Source organism: Homo sapiens, chromosome 11 (genome assembly GCF_000001405.40).
Source record: "Homo sapiens chromosome 11, GRCh38.p14 Primary Assembly".
Lineage (NCBI taxonomy): Eukaryota > Metazoa > Chordata > Mammalia > Primates > Hominidae > Homo > Homo sapiens.
In genome coordinates this window covers 89,430,649-89,447,793 of record NC_000011.10, presented here as the reverse complement: position 1 = coordinate 89,447,793, position 17,145 = coordinate 89,430,649, and the positions used below count along the sequence as shown (strand labels likewise).

Below are 17,145 nucleotides of genomic sequence, written 5' to 3'. Positions count from 1 at the left end.
GATAGATTAGGGAGAGGGAGAGTGAAAGGTCAGAAATGGAGGAGGATCAGGAAACCAGCATATTCGTGACTCAATTTGTTCTAAACTATAATCATGTCCAAGTATTCTGGTTCAACTGGAGAGCAACCAAGCAACTGAGCTAGCATGAGCTTGTGTTCCAGAGGGTTTGCATTCTGCCAGTCACTAGTCGTCTGACTTTGGCTACATTACCCTTCTTTAACTTCAGTTTTCTTGTCTGTAAAATAGGGATGACTCTATCTACCACATTGCTTTGTTTTGAGAATCAAATGAGAAAATCTATGTAAAGTGCTTGGTTGAGCTGCTTCCTTGCTGCCTAAAATTAGAAGCCCTGAATTCTTTTGACCTAAGAGGTCCTTTAAAAAGGTGAATATATCCCTTAATTATGTATTTTCTATAGCTGTTACCTACAAATTTTTTTTCAGAGAAATTCAGAAAGAATAGTAATTCTTCTATAGATGACTTTGCATTTTTTAGCCATAGAGTATGTAGTTAATATATAAGCTTTTAATTTAATATGAAAGGATTATTTTACTATACATTTGGGTATTGATGAAGCTATATGACACAGAGAGTTTTGTGTAAATAGTATTTTATACCTGTGCCATAGTTGTGTCACACTTAGACCCCCTTTGTTTTACTACTTTGGAAACTTGTCCTTGCTTGTTATTTAACTCATGTTAGCTTCCTGTCCATTTTTTTTCCTCTTAAAAATTTTTAAAGACTATTTTTCTGTAGGGCAGATTTATGTTCACAGCAAAATTGAGAGGAAGATATAGAGAGTTTTTGTATATCATTTGTCCTCATGCATGTATAGCCTCCCCCATTATCAACATCCCCTGCCAGAGTGGTACAATTTTTTACAATTGATAAATTTACATTAATTGACATATCATTATAACCTAAAGTCCATGCTTTACATCAGGGTTCACACTTGATGCTATACATTCTATGGGTTTGCACAAATGTGTAATGACCTGTACCCACCATTACTGTACCATGCAGAATAGTTCATTGCCCTAAAAATCCTCTGTGCTCTGCCTATTTATCTTTCCTTTCCCACTAACGCCAGACCACCACTGGTTAGTGTTTACAGTCTCCATAATTCTGCCTTTTCTAGAATGCAATATAGTTGGAATCATGCTATATGTAGTCTTTTCAGATTGGCTTCTTTCACTTAGTAATATGAATTTAAGTTTCCTTTGTGTCTTTTCATGGCTTGAGAGTTCATCTTTTTATAGTGGTAAATAATATTCCCTTATCTGGATGTACCACAGTTTTTTTTTTATCTATTCACCTATTGAAAGACATGTTGGTTGCTTCCAGATTTCGACAATAATGAATAAAGCTGCTGTAAACATTAATGTGCCTGTTTTTGTGTGGGCATACATTTTTAGTTCCTTTGGGTAAATATCCAAGAGTATGAGTGCGAGATCATGTGGTAAGAGTATGTGTAGTTTTTAAGAAACCACCAAACTCACTTCCAATATGGCTGTACCATTTTTTGCATCCCCCACCTGCAATGAATGACAGTTTCTGTTGCTGTGCAATCTCACCAATATTTGGTGTTGTCAGTATTCTGGATTTTGGTCATTCTAATAGGTACGTAGTGGTAACTTGTCATTTTAATTTGCATTTCTCTGATGTTATATAATGTGGATCATCTTTTCGTGCTTGTTTGCCATCTGTATATCTTCTTTGGTGAGGTATCTATTGAGATGTTTGGCACATTTTTTTAATTGGGTTGTTTGTTTTCTTGTTATTGAATTTTAAGTGTTCTTTGTATATTTTGATAATAATCCTTTATCGATATGTCTTTTGCAAATGCTTTTTCCCAGTCTGTGGCTTATCTTCTCATGGTGTTCAAAACGTCTTTTGCAGAGCTGAAATTTTAATTTTAATGAAGGCCAGCTTATTAATTCTTTCTTTCATGGATCATGTCTCTGACATTGTATCTAAAAAGCCAACACCAAACCCAAGCTCATATAGACTTTTTCCCGTGTATCCTTTGAGGAGTTTTATGGTTTTGCATTTTACATTTGGGTCTCTGATTCATTTTCAGTTAATTTTTGTGAAGGGTGTAAAGTCTATGACTAGATTTATTTATTTAAATGTGAATGCTTCCTTGTTTCAGGTCCATTTGTGACAAACGCATTTTCTTCTTTGTATTGCTTTTGCTCTTTTGCCAAAGATCAATTGACTGTATTAATGTGGGCGTATTTCTGGGCTCTCTATTCTGTTCCATTAATCTATTTGTCTTTTCTTTTGCTAATACCATACATTCTTGATTACTGTAACTTCATAGTAAGTCCTGACTCTTCCCCTACTTCTAATTTGATTACTTGAAGGACCTTATAAATCTTTTAAATAACTTTCAGGCATTTTAGCATTCTAATCCTCTCTCACTTTCATTATTTTTGTGTGTGTGTGTGTGTGAGTACCTTAGAACTCTAAGCCCTCTACATTTTACATTATGGGTTGTGGGAAATTATAGAGTTTTCTAGATTCCAGGCTATGTCTTCTTTTGAACCATTGCACTACACATATTGTGAACTATAATGGTTTACTAAGCAATTTCAGATCACTTATCTCATTAAGCCTTTTGTTTCTGTCACCATCATTTTACAGAGAAGTAAATTAAGGCCCCTGAAAGGCAAATAATATGGCCAAGATCACAAATTTTCCAGCGAGTTACCTGTTGTATTTTCAATACATTAAAATGTGGTGTTAATTCACACCTTATTTTGCCTACAAGCAAAGCTTGAGCAAGGGGGAAGGTGTGATGGGCCCGTGCACATCTCAATTTCTCCTTCCTTACCCAACCTCCTCAAAATAATTTTTATTACCCTAGCTTTGCCAAAATGAGTTCATCTTCACATCTCTAGTAATTTCCTAACACTGCTATTATTTATGTGAGCTCTAAGTCAGTCGAGCCCTTTGTTTATTGTGATTATTGTTTTCCTGAATTTTGTCCCATGAAGTGATTCCCAACACTTTTTCTGTTGGGTTAAGAATATTATGATTTAAATCTGTGGATTGTGAAAAATTTCTACTAGTTGAAAGTCTTTCAGTGGCCTATAATTTACCTTATGGGGTAGGGAAGTATGCAAGATATGTATTAATAGCAGATTTGGAACTATGGAAGAGGTGAAAGATGTGGAATACCTAAAATATCAGGGAGGTGCTCAAGTAAATAAATACTCATATCATTAGATGCATATTTATGTGTGTGTGTGTGTGTGTGTGTGTGTATGTGTGTTAGGGGGAGGATGTGTGTGTGTATGTGTGTGTGTGTGTGTGTGTGTGTGTTTCTCTTATCCCTGACTTACTAGGGTTGTTTCATTACAGCCTTTGAAAATTTGGTAAACTGTCTATAGTTCAGTTTTTTGTGTCTTTAAAACTTCACCTTTCAATGTAATATTTCATTGTCCACATAGCTGTCAAAGTTTGGCCCTGTATTTACTTAGGGAGAGGAAGAACTGAGTCCTTGACATAGAGCATATATGCAAATCCCACTAACTTACCCCTGGTGTAATTCTGTAGGCGTGCATGTGGCTGCCCATCTGGTGAATGCCCTCAACTTCTCAGTGAATTACAGTGAAGACTTTGTTGAACTGAATGCAGCAAGATACCGAGATGAGGTGGGTGGTCTCTGTCTTCCCATTTTTCTTTCACTTGTCATGAGATGACTAATGAGGGTCTGTGATTTTTCCCTGAAAATTTGTACCTTACTGCTCCTTTTGAGTGCTTTTAAAATGCAGTTGTCAAGTTGAGCTTTATTCCTTTTCAGTAGAAAATATAAGTAATTACTATTTCATAGTGTCTCCTGCTGAAAGTGAGAGTTGGTAGAATGTCTACTTTTTATATTGCAATGTTCAGATGGTTGCCACTCAGGTCTGCCTCTGACTCCCAGCAGCTTTTGTCTAATTCCTATCATTCAGCTGAGAGTGTTGACAGTGCCGTTACAGGGTAAAAATACTTTATAATTCACATACTGGGTTTTGGGGAAAAGGGAAGAAAAGTAGGTTGATTTTTTGTGAATCCTGGACAAATCAATTTATTTGACTTAAAAAATGTTAGTGAGTTTTCATGATTCATTCATTTAAAAACATTCCTCGAATTAAGTGATGTTGAATTCAATTCTGTAGCAGGCAATATCTGACGTAGAGTGCTTTTCTCCATGTGAAGCCATCCATGAAATGAAATTATATTTGCAAGGTGCAGCCCAGAGCCTGATGAACAGCACATGCTCAGCCAGTTAGGTCTCTGTTGGTTGATGCTTTCATACAGTCCTCAGGCTGCCTTTGCTTCACAATGCCAAGACTACATCAAAAACAAACTGTTCTGTCCCATTTAAATCAGCATCCCCCCCCCTTATTTTCCTGTTCTGCAGACTAAGTTTGGTAGTGACTTATTAACTTTTTTCCCCACCTTCCCCACTCCTTTTTCCCCTCCACATATCACCAGAGTTTTCTAGGTTTAATACTGTTGTGTTCATGTGTTTGACCTCCATCTCAAAACAAAACAGAGGAAAAAGTAACAACAAATTCAGAAACAAATCACAAAACCAAAATAGCCAGCAACTTTTGATATAGCCCTTGTCTCTATTGGTATTTTAAAAAATACCAACATGATCTAATTAGTCTTGGATGGGAGGCAGGCATTGATAATTTGTAAAAATTTACCAGGCTTGTAGAGTGCATCCAGCACTGAGAACCACTGAAAAATTCCCGCTCCTTAGCAGGCCAGTGACAGCGCTTCACATGTAATTTCAGACCCAGCCTCCACTTCTGCCCATCTCACTTCCACCTGCTTCCCTTTCTCCTGCTGCCCTCTGCTCAAATCACTAGCTACTTGTTTCCTGCCCCTGTTCCAACATTTCCTTTGTTTCTCTTTTCCTTCTTTTCTTCTCTTTTCAGAATTCATGTCTTTAATAACTTTAATGGTTTTCTCATTTTAATGGAATAAACTTTTGCTTAAGTTCCAATATTTTTAGTGATTTCAAAATTTTCAGTTATTAAATTTATTTTCTTTGAAAAGTTATACATGCTCAATATAAAATATTTTAAAACTCTCAAGTAAATGAAGTTAAAAGTGAAAGCTTCTCCTCCAAAACAAGCCACAGTTTATTATGTTTTTTTCTGATATTTTGAGTCGCATTTTATGGTATATATTCCTTGGCGATTTACTTGTTTGCATAAATATACTTTTATAGCTTATTGTATCAACATATCTTAATCTATCTCATTCTCTCCATATGACTATGCCATAATTTATTTTTAGTCTTTTTCTTATTCAGACATTTAGATTGATTCTAGGGTTTTGTTCTGAACCACACTCCAGTGAATGTATTTCTTTGTCCTCTTCTACACAGATCTGTAGTTGTAGAATTTTGGTTTAAAAGGTTGTACATTTTTAGTTTTGATGGACAGTGCCAAATTCCTTTTTAAAAAGTCTTCTCCTGTTTTCACACTTCTAACTAATATTAGAATGCCTATTTCTACAACTCATCTCTGTTTTTTTTTCCCAATCTAAGGGATGAAAATGGCAACTCAACGTTTTAAGTTAGTATTTCCCCTGCCTTTATTTCTTCTTGTATTCCTTCTTTCATGTCTCTCTTTATGCTTTTTTCTCTCTTTTTAATAAATATGTATTTAGCATCTAATAGGTACAAGGCCATGCATTAGATGTAGATGAAAATAAGTGTATATATACTTATGTATTTAAATATTATGTAAATAAATATATGGCATATCTATTATATATAGATTATATTTTATATATTGATATATTTATATATTGATTATATATATATATATATATATATAGTCAACACATATGTTATTTTGTGAAGCACTTTTGAAAAAGATGGTTTTGTGCCAATATACCCTATTGTTCTTCTTTTATGCTTTTACTCTGCATGCAAGGACTCACCCTCCACCTTGTGACTGCTGCACTTCCTTGATAGCCCGGCTAAATCTGCCTCATCTTGCCACTGTGAAAACATCTCTCACTCTCATGTTTCATTTTCTTTCTCTAGCAATATTAATTGTTCCATCTTCTGGGTTTTCTTAGGTATTTATTCACATTTCTATTCTTACCACTTTGTTCAGCCCATATGATATTTTTATGGGTTGTTTATATATTCAGTTTTCTTAGATCACCCTATAGCCATGTTTCTAATAGTTGGAATAGAAGTCAATTGAATTAAGCCAGGTGAGGAGCTATTCCTAAGCAAGTGGTCCTTATTCAAAGACCCCCAGATGACACTATATCAATCGTTTCCTTCTTAGTACATAGTCTGGCCTGACCCCAGATTCAATGGAGGCACACAGAAAGAAATTCAAAAGCTTGTGAAATATTAAGCACCACGGGGATAAAAAATAAATCCACAAATCTAGTGGCGATTGGTTTTCCAGAAGGTAGAAGGGTGCTGACTATAACCATTAGAGCATAAGAGATGTAGTTTAAAGGAAATCATACAATATTTTAGCAATATTAATGTTTCATATTTCTAAGTAGCAGAAACTGGTTTTTATTTGAGTATCCTCACCACTTTTCACTATATTTGAAACACAGAAAGCTCTCAATTAGTCTTCTTCGTACTGAGCTTACAATGCGCAAATCCCCTACATATTTTATTGGTTTTTAATTCTGTCTTCACATCTTGTGATGCAGTTTCACGGTTTTGGTAGACAGAGTATATAATAATAGTTTAACATCATGGCTAAGATATTGAGTTTCAAAATGGTCAAAGATGGGCTTAAAACCAGTGCCACCAGCTTGTAGGTAACCATTAAGAATAATTTCTGGGCCTTTTGAGTCATCCAGTATTTTGCCTCAGATGGATAGATTTCTCTGAATTGGGTTTTTACTTGTTGTAATCTCCTCTAGCATTGTGAAAATGTTATGAAACTTAATCGAGTCTTTCTCACTTCCGTTGGATGAACAGTATTTTACATGACAAGTATGTGGTTTGTAGATCCTGCATACTCTTTATAGAATTATATATCATCAGTGCTTTAGTTTTTAATCATTTATTTTTTTTTCTTTTTCTCAGGATCCTAGAAAACTTCTCTTCACAACTGGTAAGTTGTTATTCTTAGCCTTTTCTTTAGGTTTAGGAACATCTTTAAAAGTAGGCATTATCGGACTGGGCGCAGTGGCTCATGCCTGTATTCCCAGCACTTTGGGAGGCTGAGGCGGGCGGATCACCTGAGGTCAGGAACTCGAAACCAGCCTGATCAACATGATGAAACCCCATCTCTACTAAAAACACAAAAAATTAGCCGGGCATGGTGGGTGGCAAGTGCCTGTAATCCCAGCTACTTAGGAGGCTGAGGCAGGAGAATCACTTGAACCCAGGAGGCAGAAATTGCACTGAGCTGAGATCGCGCCACTGCACTCCAGCCTGGGCGTGACAGAGTAAGACTCCGTCTAAAAAATAAAAATAAAAATAAATAAAATAAAACTAAGCATTATCAAATTACACAACAATTAGATATATGTTACAAATATAACATATGGACAATTTGCATGTAAGAATAAATATTTGGAGTTAAAGGATAAGGTTGCAATGAGAACAGAGACAATGCAAACATTGGGGTGTGAATAAATGGAGAGTAAAAATAAGCAAATACATTTCACTGTCGTATATTCTTCCAATCAAAACAATGCAACCGCATTCTTATTGAGGGCCTGCTTTGTGCCTGCTGCTGTGGCAAGTGCTGTAGGAGATAATGCATGTTTAACAGGCTCCTGCCCTCAATGTATTGGAAAGGAACACCAAGCACTGTGGGTATCCATGGAGTTCTTATAATTCAGTAATTTAGTGCAACTTTTTTTAATCTTAAAATTTACAACAAAGAGGAGAAACAGTCATTAAAATAAGTTATTTCTTTGAAATGTGTCTCCTATTTCATTTGTAATTTATTTTTCCTTTTCAAGCTTATTGTCCATGAAATCTCAGTCTAGACTATTAATTTGTTAAAGCACGTTTGAACATCTCAAAATTTCCCCTGATGTTAAACAATTTTTGCTAAAAGTCTTCTTTTTCCCAACCTTAGATTTATAAAGATGAAAGAATAAAGATGCATTTGGGGAATTTTTAGCACATATTTCAGGGACAAGGATGATTGCATAGTTGAGATGCTCTATCATAAATTGTTGGGTGTAATACCCAATTAAGTATTGGAATTGCACATGGGACTGAGGCACATTACCCTGGCAAATGCATTATTTTTCTTTTGAATCAATTTTATGATGAAACGTCACAATAATTCTAGTGCTTTCCCCATCCATGTCACAGCTATATATTTAGATTTATAAGATACATTTTACTTTTGTCTATAGATTTATAATACTTGCCACTTGCAAAGTATTTCACAGTTTTCTCTTTAGGAACACAATTTAGTTTTGCTTTCAACTTTGCTCATTGAAAACATGTTTTCATTTAGGCCTGAAGAATTGGGTGAGAACAAAAAGTACAGAAAAAGAAAACTTTACGTATCAACCAATGTATTTTTTGGTTTACAGTGAATTCATTTAAGAGAGAGAAACAAAAGCTTTGTTTAATATTATTTTCTAAAACATAAAGTTTAATTGAAGCCTTGGAACCTTTAAAATGCTTTGAAAAGTTTAGTTTACAAAGACACAAAGAGATTTGTTATGTGACTAAGCTATCACATTAAGGCACTAATATTATTATACTATTAGTAGTATTATTATTAGTATTGTTACTATTAGCACTATTATGATTATACTAATATTACTAATATTATATTAATAATATAATATATAATTATATATTATATATTATTATATATAAAATAATATATATTATATTATTATATATATTTTATATTATATATTATATATATAATATATAATATATTATATATTATATATATAATATATAATATATTATATAATATATATAATATATAAGATATTATATAATATATATAATATATAATATATTATACACTATATATTATTATATTATTATATTATATTATATTATATATAGTATTATATATAGTATATATGATATAATAATATAATAATATATAGTATATTATATATTATTTATAGTATATATAGTATATAATATATAGTATATATTATATAGAGTATTATATATAGTATATAATATATACTATATATTATATATAGTATTATATATAGTATATAATATATAGTATATATTATATTATATATAGTATATTATTATATATAGTGTGTAATATATAGTATATATAGTATATAATATATATGCTGTATATTATATAGTATATATAGTATATAATATATATGCTGTATATTATATAATATACATAGTATATATTATATTATAATTATATATTATATATTATTTATATTATAATTATATATTATATATTATATATATTATATAATATATAGTATATATAGTATATAATGATATATACTATATATAAGCAAGTTTAACATCTCAAAATATTTTATATGTAGTATATATATTATTATATATTATATATAATAATAATATATTACTATGTTATACTAATATACTAATAATACTAATATTATTATACTAATAACTAATACTTCTTATAAGCAGGTAATCTCACTACCTAGCATGCAACCCTATCATCCTATGTCCTTTCCCAGAGGTCCCCATGAGTGGTGTTGGACTTAGTAGAGAAGACACTTAATACAAATTTCCTGGGTCTACCTTAGTGTGTGTCTGGGAAAGACTTGGCAAAGTGTTTTACTAACCTTCCCAGGTACTTTGGGAGCTGCTGTCCTGTCACTACTGAACATCTCATCATACTCTTGAGCATACCGTCTCGCTACTGCCTGCCTTTTGTATTAGGTATTTATTGTAAGTAACCGAGAGATAATTTAAAGTATGTGAGAGGATGTGCACATGTTATGTATAAATACTTGAGCATTCTCAAACTTGGTATCTGTGAGGGGTCCTGGAACCAATCGCATGGATATTGAAGGATGACTGTAAAAATACTGTGTTGTAGAATAGTTTATTTCCTTACATGTACTGTCTTTTCCACTTGTAGGTGAGCTTCTCTTGGGTTGGGAAGGGCTGCTTCTAGAGTATGCAGGGTCCTAGGTAAACATTTTTTTATGGCCTCTGGCAATAAAAACAATTTGACTCACCCAATTCAGCAAATTAGCACCATTTTGGTGGCCCATTCTCACATAATTTCAAGAAAAGAAGTACTATGCTGGCCAGCAGGAGGCATCCACTTCCCAGGTCATCAGTCTGGAACTGGGCTCAGACACAGGGCTCCCTAAGCGTGAGTCTGGAGCTCCTAAGGCATCTGTTTGTCCCCACTGAAGACTAGCAGGTGACAGTGCAAAGTAGAGTCTAAGGATGGTAATGGCATGAAAGACACCTTTTTCTATCAATGAACTGAATCCAACTTTATATCACTAATGTTGACTAAAACTATTCCACAGCCATCTCTGAATGTTCTCAGGCACAGCATCTAGGAAACATTGCCTCAGCCTCCCAAGTAACTGGGATTACAGGTGCCCGTCACCATGCCCGGCTAAGTTTTTTGTATTTTTTTTTTAGTAGAGATGGAGTTTCACTATGTTGGCCAGGCTGGTCTTGAACTCTTGACCTCATGATCTGCTTGCCTCAGCCTCCCAAAGTGCTCAGATTACAGGCGTGAGCCACTGCGCCCAGCTGATAAAGAGTATTTTTATTAGTTAATAGATTTCATGGATTTTTGTTTGTTTAATATTACATAGAGTCTTCTATCTCTGTGTGTTGGAATTTTTTTCAATGGAATCTAGTATTGACAAATTAAGATTGTCTTGTAAAAAATAAAGTCTTTGGTTATACAAGTGACATAAAATATAGTGGCTAAACTTACTACATAAGAAATGTTATAAACATTCCAATTAAGGATTTCTAAGGTAAGATTAATAGATTGAATTATTTAAATGTTCATTTAAAAATGCTTACTATATATCTCCAAATTTGGTAGTAGCTTTTATGGTGAGAATAAAATGGATAATATCTAACTTTAATTTTAAAAACCCTCAGAAACAAATATAATTATGTTTCCAATTATGTTAGTAAAATAGGATAATGAATAGATAATGGTATATTTCTGACCACATCTGGGTATGGATGAAAACAATCTCTCAGGTTCATCTAGAAATTACAATGTCATGCAATTATTCATTTTAAAAGCTACTAATTAATAAATTTAATATGCATAAATATAAAGCCATAAGAATAAACATGTAAACATGTATTTTGCTAAGGAAACAAGTATAGGTTTGGCTTCCTAACTTGAAGGACTAAAAAAATTCACAGGAGAATCAAGGTACTTCACTTGGACAAGCAACTTTGCCCGGTGAGATTAGACTAGCCCAGTGATTTCCAGCCGGTGTTTTCAGACTCTTGGAATGTGTTGTAATAAGGCTAATATATTGGGATTTAGCTGAGCTGTCAACCAAGGCTAGCTTAGGGTGCCCTTTGATGTGCCCTGAAAGCACTCAGTGCTTAGCTCTCTTTACAGCACTTAATGCCGTGTGTTGCAATTTCCTGCTTAACTTGTCTGTCTCCACCAGTGGACTGGGAATTTTTGTAGAGCAGAATTTATTTTATCTCTAGCATTTAACATCTAACAGTACACTGTATATGCCTACAAACTGTTCACTGAATGAATAAAAGTCATTTGTTTAACTCTTTTATTTGATGCATAGATCTTCTTGTAATATCCCAGATAACAGTTACCCCTGACTTTTTGATCACTCTGATTATAGTATGCTTTTCTGCCCTTGCTAATTGTAAGTTCTTCTTCATTGATCTGAAATCTATTACTTTATTAATTGTACACTTTGGTCTTTTTTACTTTTGAGAAATAAGAAGGAAAAACAAATTCTTTAGATAAAAGAGATAACTTTATAAATCTGAAGGAACATGGAAAATCTTCAGATTTATTCTCCTTAGTTTGCAGATGAGATTCAGTGAGATTGGAGTTTTGTGTAAGGGACAGTAACAAGAGTATAATCCCAGACCATATACATCATTGGCTGGGTCGTCTGGCCCTTCTATTTTATCCTCAAATGACTGAAGTAAACTATTTTACTTCCTCTAAGTCTTTCCAATATGTTTTCATGTTCTGACCTAAAAGCAATACTCTGATCTAATAAGTTTAAGAAAATATTTAAGTTTAATCAGGTTTCTTGAATTTAATACTTCTCAGAGACTTTTATACATTAATGTACCCTGTGACTTTTTAAGGAATGGTTATAGTATTTTTAGTAATAGAAACTAATATTTCAAGGAATTAATTTTCAAATAATACACTTTGGAAATTGTGGCTCTATTCTAAACATACTCCATTTTTCCAGGTGTTCTTTCGATGAAGTAATTTGCAGACATCCCATGACTAATTTTGGCATGTTCAAAACTATATAGGAAAGTGTATGCAGACATAGAAGAACACTAATAAAGGCCCAATAAAATATTGGAAAGGCCCCTCTAACTATAATTTCACACTATGTAGCCATCTGGGATTCTATCATTTAGTTATTCATGTGGACAAATAAAGGTTTTCTTTTTTAACACTTGAAAACAGTGAGACTGACCTCTTCTTTTTTCTCTCAAATTTATGAAATTATAATTGAAGTACACTAATTATACACATGTATACAATTTGATTGGTTTTGATACATACATATATACACATACATACACAATAGTGGAACCATCATCAAAAGTTAGATGATAAATATTTTTATTATCACAGAATATTTTTGTGCTCTTTTATAACGCATCTTGCCCTCTACCCCTCCTAGCAACTGATCTGCTTTCTATCACTGAAGAATAGTGTGAATTTTCTGGAATGTTATATACAAGGAATCATAGAATTTGTACTTTTTCAGGACTGGAGTGGTTTAGCTTCTTTTATTCAGTCTAACAATTTTGTGATTCATGTATATTGTTGCTTATCTATCAACACTTTATTTTTTTTTTATTGCTGATTAATTTTCCAGGTACAGATAAGTACCACAATTGTTTATCCATTAATCTGTTGATGAATATCAGAGTCGTTTATAGACTTTGACTGTTAAAAATAAGTAGCTATGAACATTCTTAAACAAGTCTTTGCATGGATATATGTTTGTTTCTTTTGGGTAAACACTTGGAAGTGCAATGGCTGGGTTACTTTGCAGGCATGCTATTTTTCCAAAATAGTGTATTTTTCATGCTGCTAGTTCTTTAGAGTGAACTAGACTAGTTATCTTACCCATCTCTTACAACTGGGAAGTAAGCACTCACTGTAGGAAATGGAAAAATCATGAAAAAGGAAGTACTTTTCCTCTAGGAAGGAAGCGTAAAGAAGAAATGATTTGGATTAGGTACATTAGGGAAGGGCACCTTTTGTTAGGCTTCTAAAACTGTCTACTGGGAAAGTGAGGAGGTGCGAGTACTCAAGTGCTGAGAACCCATAGACTAATTCTCTTATTTTTCATGTGGTGCTTTATAAGTGAAATTTGTTTCTACTGTACTGAGATTTCGAATGCTGTTATTTTCCAGTGATTCTAACTCTGGAATCCTAATGATACACACCTGTGTTGCTCTTACATTGTACACAAGGTGTCTGCTTCTGCTGGTGGCTCATAGTCTATGACAGACCTTCTATTTCATAGTAGTTTTCTTGACAAGGAAAGAAGCAGAGGAATGTCACTTTTCCAGATGGAATTGTCCCAATAGCTTTTCTTTGTAGTCTGATTTAAGATTATCTCAGATGGGATATTCAGGACTTACTGTTGCTTGTGAGAGTAAACAAATGTAACTTATTGACAGGATATTTAATTTTGTAATAATACAATACTAAAGGAGACCATTGACACTTTAGCTGTTTAGGATATTGTTTTTCAGTTAGCTATTCATTTTGGACATGCTATATGTGCTAATGTTGGATTTGTAGCAATCTATCCTGCCATTATAATTTTGACAATATATTTGCACATTTTATTATTTTAAAAAAACAAATGTTATGCCATATCTGAAGCACTTGATTTCAACATATTTTTCATACTAAGGAGAAATATGTCTGCAAGTATTTTTAAAACATCAACATTGTAGTTTATTCTAGAAACCTCCAATTTTTGTTCTGTGTTTTGTGATTTTTGAAAACACTTTAGGCTTTATTTTTTGTTTAAAATTATTCTAGTTAGTGAAGCCTAAAAGCAGTTAATTGAAATTGAAACTGAAGGCACTGCTTAGTTTCATAAGAGGAAGGAGAGCATGAGGGAGATTTAGTACTATGGTGTTTAAAACCAAAACAGAAAGAGTGCTGAAAGTTAACCCTGTCCTGTTGCATTAATTACTGATGTTTAGTGTATACTTTTAGAAGTAAGTACCTATTTGCCATTCTGAGTAGAATATTTGGGAATTAAAAAAAATGGAATATTCTGTAAAATAGATAAAAGATCCTGATTGGTCTAAACGACTTTGAAACTGTACTGATTTTAATAAGTTCTGGTGTTCTGTACCACTGTAGAATGACTATAGTAAGCAATAATGTATTATATGCTTTCAAATAGCTAGAAGAAGGATATTGAATGTTCCCAACACAAAGTAATAATAAATGTTTGAGATGATGGATGGATATGCTAATTACTCTGATCTGATCACTTTTACTTTATATGTATGGAAACATCACTATGTACTCCATAGCTATGTATAATTATTATCTGTCAATCAAAAATTAATTTAAAAAATTAAAAAGTAAAGGGCTTGTTTGAGGGAGAACATACATGTAGATGTGGGATTTGAATTAGGCTTCCCACAGAACAGCACAGTATTTCGGATTCTAATATAATCATTTTTTGTATTTTTTTCTCACTATGATTTAAGTAAAAACCTACTTGTATACATTTTTATAGTTCCTGGCCTGACAGGGGTCTGCATGGTGGTGGTGCTATTCCTCATGATCACAGCCTCTACATATGCAATAAGGTAAGTGTCAGAATCAATTATTTTGATGTGTATCTGTCAGGTTATTTAGAAAAAGTCTTGAGTAATCAAAATGTTTAACCATTGTAGTGTCCTGGTTAATGGACTATTCTGGGTAAGTAAGAGTGAAGTATAGCTGTTTCTATACATGACTTCTTGTTTCTGAAAGTTCTCTTGTATTAGCAAATTTTCTGGATTGGTAAGAAATTGTGTATGGAGACTGCATTTGATGATCAAAAGAATTAGAGTTCTTCAGAATTTGAGTATCTTTTGAAGGATAGTGTATCTCTATGGGACACGGGATTGAAATCAATGTGTACATATGGGGACCTTAGAAATTCCTAGGAATATGTGACTTAAAATTATTTTATTTTATTATTTCATTATTTTTAAGATTTAACATTGTGATTTTATTTTATTTTATTTATTTTTTTATTATTATACTTTAAGTTCTAGGGTACATGTGCATAATGTGCAGGTTTGTTACATATGTATACATGTGCCATGTTGGTGTGCCGCACCCATTAACTCATCATTTACATTAGGTATATCTCCTAATGCTGTCCCTCCCCCTCTCCCAACCCCACAACAGGCCCCGGTGTGTGATGTTCCCCTTCCTGTGTCCAAGTGTTCTCATTGTTCAGTTCTCACCTATGAGTGAGAACATGTGGTGTATAGTTTTTTGTCCTTGCGATAGTTTGCTGAGAATGTTGGTTTCCAGCTTCATCCATGTCCCTAAAAAGGACATGAACTCATCCTTTTTTATGGCTGCATAGTAATCCATGGTGTATATGTGCCACATATTCTTAATCCAGTCTATCATTGATGGACATTTGGGTTGGTTCCAAGTCTTTGCTATTGTGAATAGTGCCGCAATAAACATACGTGTGCCTGTGTCTTTATAGCAGCATGATTTATAATCCTTTGGGTATATACCCAGTAATGGGATGGCTGGGTCAAATGGTATTTCTAGTTCTAGATCCCTGAGGAATCGCCACACTGTCTTCCACAATGATTGAATTAGTTTACAGTCCCACCAACAGTGTAAAAGTGTTCCTGTTTCTCCACATCCTCTCCAGCACCTGTTGTTTCCTGACTTTTTAATGATCACCATTCTAACTGGTGTGAAATGGTATCTCATTGTGGTTTTGATTTGCATTTCTCTGATGGCCAGTGATGATGAGCATTTTTTCATGTGTCTTTTGGCTGCATAAATGTCTTCTTTTGAGAGGTGTCTGTTCATATCCTTTGCCTACTTTTTGATGGGGTTGTTTGTTTTTTTCTTGTAAGTTTGAGTTTTTTGTAGATTCTGGATATTAGCCCTTTGTCAGATAGGTAGACTGCAAAAATTTTCTCCCATTCTGTAGGTTGCCTGTTCACTCTGATGGTAGTTTCTTTTGCTGTGCAGAAGCTCTTTAGTTTAATTAGATCCCATTTTCAATTTTGGCTTTTGTTGCCATTGCTTTTGGTGTTTTAGACATGAAGTCCTTGCTCATGTGTATGTCCTGAATGGTATTGCCTAGGTTTTCTTCTAGGGTTTTGATGGTTTTAGGTCTAACATTTAAGTCTTTAATCCATCTTGAATTAATTTTTGTATAAGGTGTAAGGAAGGGATCCAGTTTCAGCTTTCTACATACAACTAGCCAGTTTTCCCAGCACCATTTATTAAATAGGGAATTCTTTCCCCATTTCTTGTTTTTGTCAGGTTTGTCAAAGATCAGATGATTGTAGATGTGTGGTATTATTTCTGAGGGCTCTGTTCTGTTCCATTGGTCTATATCTCTGTTTTGGTAGCAGTACCATGCTGCTTTGGTTACTGCAGCCTTGTAGTATTGTTTGAAGTCAGGTAGCGTGATGCCTCCAGCTTTGTTCTTTTGGCTTAGGATTGTCTTGGCAATGCAGGCTCTTTTTTGGTTCCATATGAACTTTAAAGTAGTTTTTTCCAATTCTGTGAAGAAAGTCATTGGTAGCTTGATGAGGATGCAACTGAATCTATAAATTACCTTGGGCAGTATGGCCATTTTCACGATATTGATTCTTCCTATCCCTGAGCATGGAATGTTCTTCCATTTGTTTGTGTCCTCTTTTATTTCGTTGAGCAGTGGTATGTAGTTCTCCTTGAAGAAGTCCTTCACATC

The 17,145-nt window shown here is 33.6% G+C and overlaps 1 protein-coding gene across 8 annotated transcripts in view, besides 1 other annotated feature; it reads left to right on the top strand.

The window, feature by feature from the left end:
- NOX4 (NADPH oxidase 4) overlaps positions 1-17,145 on the top strand; it is a 265,205-nt gene that overhangs the window by 141,764 nt on the left and 106,296 nt on the right. For all 8 annotated transcript variants that reach the window (NM_001143837.2, NM_001300995.1, NM_001291926.2 and 5 more), the window contains 3 exon segments: positions 3,562-3,659; positions 7,079-7,106; positions 14,938-15,010. In NM_001143837.2, coding sequence (NP_001137309.2) covers positions 3,562-3,659; positions 7,079-7,106; positions 14,938-15,010 — 199 coding nt within the window.
- Positions 4,639-4,933: a silencer, noted in NCBI's record as "tiled region #6977; HepG2 Repressive non-DNase unmatched - State 24:Quies". NCBI's record gives its function as "represses a minimal TATA promoter and a strong SV40 promoter by Sharpr-MPRA in HepG2 cells {active_cell/tissue: HepG2}" and the evidence as "EXISTENCE:reporter gene assay evidence [ECO:0000049][PMID:27701403]".